We start from the raw sequence: 11,824 nt of genomic DNA on the forward strand, positions 1-11,824 counted from the left end.
AGCAAGTGAGAAGATTAAAAGCACTCATCAATTTCTAGATATAATTTTTTAAATTAAGAAAACAGGCATTTGGAATGGCATTACAGAAGATGGCGGAATATAGGAAGCTCTGCCTCCTCTACTGAAGCAGCTGAAGCAGCTTTTCTCAGTGGCATCTATTGAGGGGATTTAAGGAAGCAACCCCCTTTTCTCTCCTTTCTTACTGGTTTCAAACATTAAGAAAATCTTTGACCAGTCACTAACTGACTACGAAGGTAATAGAATAGAGACTTCAATGACCATACATGACAAGGAATTTGTTCTTTGTAAAAATATTTTGGAAAGTCACTGAAGAAATGGACAGCTGCAGCCTTCTTCATGCAATAACAGCAATCCCTGGAGAAAGGGTAGAATCTGTTTTCTAGAGTTACCACATTACAATCTTTAACATTTCCAATTTTCAAGAAAAATTTATAATGCATACAAAGACACGGGAAAGTATGACACTTTTCATACTTTTACTTTTACTTTTCTCATTCATGGGAAAAGTAAAAGAAGGCAACAACCATCTCTGAGGAAGCCCAGACACTGCACTTATAGATGAAAACTTTAAATTAATTGTCTTAAACATTATGAAAAAGCTGAAGGAAACCATGAACAAAACTAAAGGAAACCAGGAGAATAATGTGTAAAAAGTAGGGAATATCAAAAAAGATACAGAAATTATAAAAAAGAAACAAATAGAAATTCTGGACCTAAAAAGTACAATTGATAAAATAAAACATTCTCTAGAATGGCTCAACAGCAGATTTCAGGTGGCCAAAGAAATAATTAGCAAACTTGATGATAGGGCTATTTAAATTACCCAATGAGGAGCAGAAAAAAAAAATGAAGAAAAATAATCAGAGCCTAAGGGACTTGTAGAACACTATCAAACATACCAATATATACACCATTGAACTCCCAGAATGAGAAGAGAGAGAGAAAGGGGAAGAAAGAATATTTGAAGAAATAATGGTCAAAAACTGTCCAAATTTGATAGAAGACATGGAGGCACACATCCATGAAACTTAATGGATTCCTAGATAGTATAAACTCAGAGAGATCCACAATTACAAAAACTAGAATCAAACTGTCATAAACCAGAGACAAAAAGAGAATTTTGAAAGCAACAAGAGAATTTACTTATCCCATGCAAGGGGGCCTCAACAATATTAACAGACATTTTCTCCATCAGAAAAGATGGGAGCTAAAAGATAGTGGGATGATATATTTAAAATTCTGAAAGAAAAAGGACAGCCAACCAAGAATTCTATATTTTGCAAAACTATCCTTCAAAAATAAAGAAAAAAATTAAGATATTCCTAGGTAAACAAAGCAAAGGGTTTTTATTTCTAGTAGACCTGCCCTTCAAGAAATGCTGAAGGGTGTCTTTCAGGCTGAAACAAAAGGGTACTAGATGGTAACCTGAGTCATATGAAGAAATAAAGATCATTAGTAAAGGTAACTGTACTGGCAAATATAAAAGCTAGTATTATTGTATTTTGAGGATGTAACGCCTCTTTTTGTTTCTTGTATAATTTAAAAGGCAAATACATAAAACAGTGATTCTCTTTTTGTAAATATCAAATCAATGTGTTGTGAAAGCACATAGTAGATAAAACATGATGTTCACTCCACTCCTTTCCTTCTCTTATAGCTCTTTCTTTACCAGGTCTCCAAACTGTCACAGAGCCTAGCTCTTCCTGCACATTGAACTGGACTTTGGGGGGATCTGTCCAGCTGCAACTAAACTCCTCTTTGGATCCTAACATCCAAGAGATTGAGTGGAATGGAAATTCTGAGAACGAGAAAAAAGAAATAAAACGGTTTCTGATGTCCTGGAAGCCTAATATCCCTAATCCTCATTGGCATGAGCTTAAAGACAAATACAAGCACAGGTTCCACCTGTTGGAGATGGTTTTCTTGAGCATCAGGAATCTCACTGTGGAAATGAGTGGAGTACATGCAGCAACAATCAAGTTCTACTCAGGAGAATCCCAGGAAGAAGGCTTTAGATTCTGCACATATGGTAAGGTGAGGGGCCATGTCCCAATCAGGCATTCCAATAACCACTTATCCAAAGTAAGTTAGCTAACATCAGGTTAAAAAAAAACCCCACTCATTTTAAGGAGTTTTTTTATTTCCTCTGATGTTCTAAAAATAAAAACTAAAATTTAAAGATTATATCTTAGGAAAAACTAAAATTTTTAAAAGGAATAAAATGCACATTAAATGAGGAGGAAAGAGAAACCAAAAGGATATAAAAAATTCTTCAATCAAAAAATACTGTAAAATTGATTATTAAAATTAATAACATATCAGAAATGTCTTTAATTGGTTGGTTCAAAAACTGATTTAAAATTCTTAAATGACCTAAAAAAGTTGGCCAAAACAAAACAATAAAACTGGACTTTAAAACACTTAGAAGGAGATGGGCTGTTAGAACAGGTCTTTAGGTAAAATGGTCTTAGATAAATTGACCTGAAGGCCAGTTGGAGAGTTCTCAGGACAAAGCCTGTCTGAGGCCCAAGCTGAAGATGCAGAAGGTGACTCAGACCCTGTCTCCTGGATCTCTCAGGGCAATGAGCAAGCCAACATTCTCCCTGGGAAACAAGGAGCCCTAGGCAGAGAGTTTAGTGGAGAAAGCTGGAGAAGTGGGAAGAGAAGGAGCAGAGTCTGAGGGTAAACCAGAGTGCCAGAGCTCTCTCCTGTTGGTCCTCTCTACCTCCACCAGTCCTCTGACATCTCTGCATGGGTTGCCATGCAGCCTCCTAACTGGCCTCCCTGTCTCTGCTGTCTTCCCCCCCTCTCAAAGCACCTTCCACAAAGCTGCTGTTTTGAGCTTTTCAAATGCAGTTCTCTTCTGTTATCACCCTGCTTAAAATCAAACAATGCTTCCCACACCCATCCCCACATAATAAATCACACTCAGGAAAAGAAGTCCAGTCCCCCACAGGCACTGATCACTGGCTGCCTCTCCAGCCTCATTTCCTGATACTTTTTTCCCCATGTGCCTTGCTCCACATTTGCTACCCTTCACCTCACCCACCTGGTCCTTTCTATCCTCCTTGACATATCCTGGCGGCTCTCCAGGGACTACCCATCTCCCACACCTCCCCTGCAGAACTGGCAATTCCTCACCTAGTGGGAGTGGGTTGTGGGTGAGGGATTCCAACATGGGAGATGGAAAAGCTTATGAGAAGAGACAGAGTTGACTGAATTGAGTGTCCAAGACGAGGTTTCCAGTCAGTGAAAGGTGGGGAACAAGCTGCCTCCCTGGCTTCCAGCTCCTTGTTCCTATTTTCTCTCTCCCCTCCCTTGGCTGATAAATCCATTGCATAGCTTTCTGAGTAACATCATAACACTATAGCCTCGTCCGATCTGTTTTGGCACAAGAAATGGAAGACTGTTCAAATTACATCAATAAAGAGGGTTTTCATCTTAAAGATACATAGAGCTCATAGGCGTGAAGATCAATGAAGGAATTCCTCTGGCCTTCATACTCGCAGGAACTAGAAAGATGTTGGGCACTTTCCTCTCTCCATCAGGGGCCACATAGGCTGTCATCTTCCACTCTGTATGTTCGCATCTCTCTCTCTCTCTCCTGTCAGCTTTATTCCCTTGAGCTTCTCCACACCGTAGGGTACATGGCCTTCAGCAGCTATGGGCCCATCCAATTAGAGGGCAAAGGGGCTTTCCTGGTCCACTCCACAAGGACAATCCCAGAGAAGGACTCTTATTGGCTAGGCGTGGCTCACATGCCGACCCCTAGATGGGTCACTGGCCAGGGAATAGCATCCTCTGATTGGCAAGGCCAACCAGGGTCAGGGTGCTGATCATGTAAAAACACAAGGTTGGAGCAGAAGAGGAGTTGCTAGAAAAAGTAGAAGTACTACTAGCTGGTTTCTCTTCATCTTGCTTTCCATTTCCCAACAATCCATCAGTGTCCAAATGAAACCTTCCAACAACAATTGTCATTCCCCGCTGACTGCAGAACTAAGCACTCCTCTCAGCCCTGGGCGCCTCCAGTAAGTGATGCTGTCTTTTCCCCTTGTTTCTAGCTAAATGCATTGTTCCTCATGTATAAGCTCTTTCTCTCTTCCCTCTTGGCATTCAGAACTGTCATATCTGAAATAAAGATTTTTCTGATCCTGTCAAATGAGCCTTTCCATTTGGAAGTCTCAACATTCTTTTTTTTCTAATTTTTAATGGATCTTGTTTCTCTCTGTCTTGTGCTAGAGTATTTCTGTGTGGCCTACTTTCCACTTGACAGCAGAATCGGCACCCTTGGGGGGGCACTGTTTGGTGTCCCCCAAGTACCTCATACAGCTCCCAGTAGGCATTCGGGAGTATCCTTTTAAACAAATAGATTTAAGCAATATTTAAAGGATTCCTACAGAAACATACCTACTTTTTCTATGCTTTTTCTTATCCAAGCCTGACTATTATTCCTTCACCTATTGAAAAGAGCATATAATAAAATTTCATATAAAGCAATTGGTGTATGAATACTTTAAATGCTAAAGAACATAAGCTTTCTGAACACCTATGGGTGTTCCAGTTACAAAGTAATAGACATTCTTTTTTGGCTTTATATTTAAATTATTATCTATTCATTAGACCAGGTCTTTTAAAGAAGCTACTTAAAAATATGATTTTTCACCAGACACGTGTTCAATGAGTCTTGGAATGGTCTGGTGATTTAGATTTTTAATAACTGCCTTAGAGAAGTTGTTGGAAAACTATGGCCACAGGTCAAATCCAGCCCAATGCATTTTTTTAAAATAAAGTTTTATTGAAACACAGCCACATTCATTTGTTTACATATTTTATTTGGCTGCTTTTGCACTATAAAAACAAAGTTGTGTAGCTGTGACAAAGACTTCATGGCCTGAAAAACTTAAAATATTTACTATCTGACCCTTTACAGAAAAGTTTGCCTACCACTCTCTTAGACAATTCTGCTGACACAGCTGGTCCATGTAACTTCATAGGGTTAGGATGAGGATTAAATGAGTGAATGTAAAGCCCTCAGAGCTGTGCCTGGAAGCATGCACCTGCCAAATAATGCAAGCTATTGTTCTCTTTTCATCTGCTAATAGAATAAATGACACTAATACATTTCCTAATTATACCATCCTTGCACTCCCATAATAAACCAAACTTGATCATGATGTATTGTGAGAGTATATTTGCTAATATTTAATTTAGGGATTCTAAGTTCTCTATAACTGATGTTAACCATGGCTTTGCAAGTGTTTTCTCTTGTTTTGTTTTGTTTTGTTTTCGGTATTCTCCTTGTCTGACGTGAGTATTAAACTATCCTTTCAGAATGACCTACTATATTAAACTATCCTTTCAGAATGACCTACTAACCGGGCATGCTGGCATGCACCAATAGTCTTAGCTACTTGGGAGGCCTAGGTGGGAGGATTGCTTGAGCCCAGGGATTTGAGGCTGCAGTGAGCTATGATTGTGCCACTGCACTCCAGCCTGGGTGACAGAGTGATACCCAATCACTAAACAAACAAACAAAAACCCTATTCTTTCCTTTTTCTCAGCTCTGGAACACTGTATATAACATAAGAATTTTATTTTTCTTGGCCATTTAGGAGTCCTCACTCCTAAAACCGTATGTGCTCCATGCCCTTTATAAGGACAAATCTTTGGCTACCATTTTAATTTCTTCTAGGGTTATGGGTCCATCATACATGGACCTCCCACAGCTTAGTTTGAGTATCACTGACCTAGAATACACAAATAGGGGCACAGCAGGGATTGGAGCTGTCTGCCAAGAGGAACCCGCAGGGATTCTGAGCTCAGAGAAGCCAGGTGGGATGCAGGGTTGGGTGAGAAGTGGGGCTGAGACAGCCCCATCCCTTGTGAACCACAGAAGGCCGCCCCATCAGCCTCCAGTCTGCCCACCTGCACCCAGTCCCTGAGTAAGACCCTTCCCTGCCATCCCCTGTCAAATGTCTGCTGCCCCTTCCACATGCAGCTCACATGGCCCTGGGGAGCTGGCTCTGACCTGCCCCAGATTAATTAGGGGCTCTGGGCTCCCCCAGTACTCAGAGCAAGTTGTCAATCATCTGTGGTGTAACCAGGTGCCCTGGCTCTGCCTGCCCTCTGCTGATGCAGGACCAGGCCCCATGAAGAGGTGAGGTGGGGAGGCCCTCACTCTCAGTATATTAGTCAGCTCAGCTCAGGCTGCCACAGCAAAGACCACAGCCCGGGAAGCTTAAACAACATATGTTGATCTTCTCACAGTTCTGGAGGCTAGAAGAACAAGGCTAAGGTGCCGGCAGATTGGGTGTCTTGGAGGCCTCTGTCTTCCCCCAGTGTCTTAACCAGGTCTTCATGTGCGCCTGCTTAAACTCCCAATCTCCTGTTCGTATAAGGACATCAGGTGTATTGGATTAGAGCTCACTCATTTGACCTCAGTTTACCTTCCTCATGTCTTTAAAGGCCCCATCCCAAATACAGTCACATCCGAAGGTCCTGGTGCTTAGCACTTCCATCCCCAGCTGCATTCTGTGGGGAACAATTCGGTCTATAGCACTGAGGTTCACCCTGGTGCAGGGTGGGCACCTGAGACTGGGGGTTGTGCTGCCCCACCCCAGTTCCAACCCTGCCTGTGAACATCCTGGGGTTGTCAGGAACACACAGGAACAAGACAAGCAGCTTCCACCTAAGCTACAGGTGGCAGCCTGCTCTGATTGTCATGCAGCACATATTTACTGAGCACACCTGAGCCTGGCACTGGAGGAGACTTCCCTTCCTGTCCAGTCACCACCTGCTGCTGTCACTGAGCCCCTAGGTGGCTTCACAGAGAGCACAGCCTCACCCAGCACCTCCCCTTCTGACAGACACCTCAGCCCACAAGGGGCCCAAGCCACATGTCCTGTGGTAAAATGAAGGAGAGCTCCTCTTCCTTAAATGTTATCAGGCGGCCCTGAGCAGTCAGGTGTGAGCTGTTGTTCCATAGCTGACAGCGCAGCCCACCCTGGCTGTGTGGTGCCCACCTCCTTAGGAGCCAGCAGGGCTCCAGCTCAGGGCTGGGCCCCAAGACACACTCCAGCAATCAGCCATCTTGCTTGCCAGGGAAGGCACCTCAGGTGCAGGCTGAACTTCTCAAATGCAGTTTTTCACCCTCAGCAAAGAAAAATGAGAGAGAAAATAACAGTTTAAATTGTACAGCAATTCTACCACAATAGAATCGACTTCGTTCAAATACCTAAAGCCTTGGAGCGAATATGGGTTGGGATTTGTAAATCCATGGTTCCCTTGGTCCATCTCTCTGTTCCCACCCACCTTTCTGGGTGCCCATGGTGTGCTTATATCTGTTTAAAGGCCAGCTCTCAAGGAGCAAAGAGCCCTGGTTTCAAGTGTTTGCCAATTTCTGTGTGGCTGATTTCAAGCTACCAACATCATGACTGTGAATATAGATTTGGGAGGAGATGCACAAAACCAGCTCACAAGTGGTTTGCAGCTGGCTCCAGCACACACTGTCTGTGGGTGGATCTAACGTTTAAACGTGAAGGACACATTTTTCACATAGCATGGCCCCTAAACACCAGCCAACCATTTCATCAGGAAGAAAATGCAGTCTCTTCTAAAGCAGGAGGAACTCTAAGGGATTCCCAAGAGTAATTGTATTTATTTTTCTATTTCTAAAATGTTATTTTTATTTAATTGACAAAACCATGTATATTTATTGTATATGACATGTTTTTAATACATGTACATTGTAGATGGCTATATGTAGCTAATTAACATATACATTACATCACATACTTATGTTTGTGTGTGTGTGTGTGTGAGATAAGAACACTTAAAATCTAATTTCCTGTAAATTTCCAGGAATACAGTGTGTTACTATTAGCCACAGTCACCATGTTTTAAAATAGATCTCTTGGACTTATTATTCTTCTCTAACTGAAATTTTGTATCCTTTGCCCAACATCTCCTCCCACTCCCCTGCCTCTGGTAATCACCATTCTACTTCCTACTTCGATGACTTCAACTTTTTAGATTTCATGTTTAAGTGAAGTCATGAGGTATTTTTCTTTCTATGCTGGCTTATTTCAATTAACATAATTTCCTCCAAGTTCATCCATGTTGTCATAAATGACAGAATTTTCTTCTAATGGCTAAATTGTATTCCACAATGTATAGATACTACATTTTCTTTATCCGTTCATCATTTTATGCACTCTTAGGTTGATTCCATATCTCAGCTATTGGGAATAGTGCTGCAATAAACATGGAAGTGCAGCTATGTCTTCAACATACTAATTTCACTTCCTTTGGATATATACCCAGAAGTGGGATTGCTGGATCATACGGTAGTTCTGTTTTTAATATTTTGAGGACCCTCCATGCTGTTTTCCCTAATGACTGTACTAATTTCCATCCCCACCAAGAGTGTACTTGGGTTCTTTTCTTCCACATCCTCACCAACAGTTGCTGTCTTTCATCTTTTTGATAATAGCCATTCTAAGAGGTGTGGGGTGATAGCTCACTGGTGTTGATTTGCACTTCCCTGGTGATTAGTGACGTTGTGCATTTTTTCCTATACTCATAGGCCATTTTTATGTCTTCTGAAAAATGTCTATTCAGATCCTTTGCCTATTTTTTAATCAGATTCTTTGTTTTCTTATTATTGGGTTGTTTGAGTTCCTTATATATTTTGGATAGCAATCCCTTACCAGATGCCTGGTTTGCAAATATTTTCTCGCATTCTGTAGATTGTTTCTTCATTCTGTTGTTTCCTTGGCTGCGCAGGAGCCTTTTAGTTTAATGTAATCCTATTTATTTCTTTTTGCTTTTGTTTTCTTCTAGTAGATTTATAATTTCAGGCCTTATATTTAAGTCTTTAATTGATTTTGAGTTGATTTTTGCACATGGTGTGAGATAAGGATCCATTTTCACTCTTCTGCATGTGGAAATCCAGTTGTCCCAACACCAGAGTAATTTTAACTGTATTTAACTTCCACCTTAAAACTTAATTCTTCCCTCCAGTAACCAAAGGAAAGGCATGGTTACTTCTCACCCGCCCTTCTTCTTCACTAGGCCGTCCAAGCCCAGGCTTAAAGGAGTTCCCCTATCTACCTCCCCACCAGACTAAAATTTGAGGGCATAAAATGACTTTATATTTGGGAACCCAGGATGCTTGGAGGCAGGACTTGGCAACCAGCCGGACACTGATTCCATTCCTGCTTCTACCGCTAAGCTCTGTCATCCAGCAGATCCTCAATGGCCTCATCTGGAAAATGGGATAATACTTCCTCTGCAGGGTTGCTGGGAGGACTAAATAGATAGAAGAAAGCCCCACGCGGACGGGCGCAGTGACTCACGCCTGTAATCCCAGCACTTTGGAAGGCCGAGGCGGGCGGATCACGAGGTCAGGAGATCGAGACCATCCTGGCTAACATGGTGAAACCCCGTCTCTACTAAAAAATACAAAAAATTAGCCGGGCGTGGTGGCGGGCGCCTGTAGTCCCAGCTACTCTGGAGGCTGAGGAGGGAGAATGGCGTGTACCCGGGAAACGGAGCTTGCAGTGAGCCGAGATCGCACCACTGCACTTCAGCCTGGGCAACAGAGCAAGACTCCGTCTCAAAAAAAAAAAAAAAAAAAAAAAGCGCTACGAACAGCACAACACACAAAAAACAACAGGGGATCTTCTACTCCCTCCCTTCCCCCATTCTTCCTAGGAGAGACAGGGCTGAGCCATAGTTGGACAATATCGCCACTTAGTGGCTGTGGTCAGAATTGCCCAAAAGACCAACAGTTTCTGGATTTGAGGAAAAAAGGGAAAGCATTTAAAGAAGAGGTGTTGGGATTCTGAGAGGCCATTTGGCATTATGGAAAGTGACTGGGCACTGGTATCTGGAAAACCAGGTTCAGGTCCCAGCCTTGCCAAATATTAGCTGTTTGATCCTAATCAAGTTATGTAACTTCTCTAAGCATCAGTTTCCTCATGTGTAAAATGGAGACAAGAATTGTCATCTCATTAGATTAACTCTGGGTAAGTGTTTATTGCCTTTCTTTTGCTCCTGACCCTCTTCCAGCCCCCTCTCCCCATCCTGATAAACATCACCTTCCTGGTTCCTGACCCCCTCAGTAGTTCTCCTGGCCACATCTTTTCTACTTTATTTTTCAGATGTAGAACCTAATTTCCCCCTAAACTCTTTACCCCTTATGGGGAGAACCTCAAAGTCTACAGTTTTTATCCTCAGTATCTTAGGTTTAAAAACTCTAAATTCTTATACTATTTAGTAACAGACTCCTGGTGACACATTCGTGGTGATAAAATTATGTGGACAATGATCTCTAAAGCACAAAGCAAGTTACTCATTTATAATAGAAAAGATACTCCTGTCTGGGGATGGGTACCAAGTCAGCAAACCAAGATACTCCCCATTAATAAGGGAGTATCTTCCAAATAACAAGGGCTCTTGCTGGACACAGACTCCGAGATGGTCAGGGTGAGGGACTGTTTCTCCCACATTCAGGAACACTCCGAGACCTCGTGACCCCAGCTGGAAACACCTCCCTGGTGGGCTGATGCCTGTGACCCTGCCCCGAGGACACGTGTCCACCAGCCTCGCTTCTGCGCTGACCAGCACCTTCCAAGTATTGAGCCCTCCCTAGATGGGCCAAGCCATAGTCGGCTGGTCTGGGAAAGCCCGGGCTTTAGAACTGCACAGAACTGGGTCTTCCACTTATTATCTGAGTGACCCGGGACAGATTGCTGAACTTGCCTGAGTCTGTGACCTCATCACAATGGGGCACAAGCACCCACTTCAGGGAGTGTCTGCGCTGAGTAAGTGAGGCCCTGTGCTTGCCCAGTGAGGTCCCCGGCAGATGGTCAGCCAATGCTCCTATTTCGTTCTGAACTCAGCGTCTAGGAGATCCTTCCTCCACTCTGAAGGTGCTGGCTTTACCACCAGGCCAGAGTCCAGGGCGCCCCCTCGTGGCTCTGCATTTTCCAAATTTTTCTTCAAAGTAAAACTATTGGACCGGATTGGTGGCTCACACCTGTAATCCCAGCACTTTGGAAGGCAGAAGAGGGAGGATGGCTTGAGCCCAGAAGTTTGAAACCAGCGTAGGCAACACAATGAGACCTCGTCTCTACAAAAAAAAAAAAAAAAAAAAAAAAAAAAATCTAAAAATTATCTGGGCGTGGTGGTGCACACCTGTGGTCCTAGTTACTTGGCAGACTGAGGTGAGAGGATTGCTTGAGCCAGGGAGGTCGAGGCTACAGGAAGCACTGATAGCACCACTGCACTCCAGCTGGGGCAACAGAGGGAGACCCTGTCTCAAAAAAAAAATGTCCTTGAGGATAGGAAACCCCTGAGGATAGATACACACTGATTCTTTTAGTCAACTTATTTCTGCATTTTAAAGTATGAACCACTGAAACCCATTTACAATGAAAGAAAATTTTAAAAGTGTATATTTATAACACTTCCCTCCACACCCCCAGTGGATTCTTCACTCATCAGAAAGAAATGTCATTAAACCTAAGCCAATGGATAAGCTGAATAGATTACGTATTTGTTTCCAAATGACTAGAAAGAACAGGTTATGAAAAAGGCAATTATTTCAAATGAACATTAGGAAACCATGGGGAACTGTATAAATGTGTGCCTGGGGTCACAGTCTCTGGGGTAGAGTTAACTGTGTGGCATGATCCCAAGAGCCTCACCAATGAAAATAACAATCAGAGATAAGACAAGGCTAATAATGAGGCAGAAGCCCTCACTCCTGTCTGGGATTTGGTTAGAGAGTGCAGCCCTG

The 11,824-nt window shown here is 42.7% G+C and overlaps 1 annotated feature.

Annotated features, from left to right (window-relative positions):
* Positions 10,802-10,941: an enhancer, noted in NCBI's record as "active region_1889". NCBI's record gives its function as "activates an Ori minimal core promoter by ATAC-STARR-seq in GM12878 lymphoblastoid cells {active_cell/tissue: GM12878}" and the evidence as "EXISTENCE:reporter gene assay evidence [ECO:0000049][PMID:35858748]".

The sequence above is a fragment of the Homo sapiens genome, chromosome 1 (assembly GCF_000001405.40).
Source record: "Homo sapiens chromosome 1, GRCh38.p14 Primary Assembly".
NCBI lineage: Eukaryota > Metazoa > Chordata > Mammalia > Primates > Hominidae > Homo > Homo sapiens.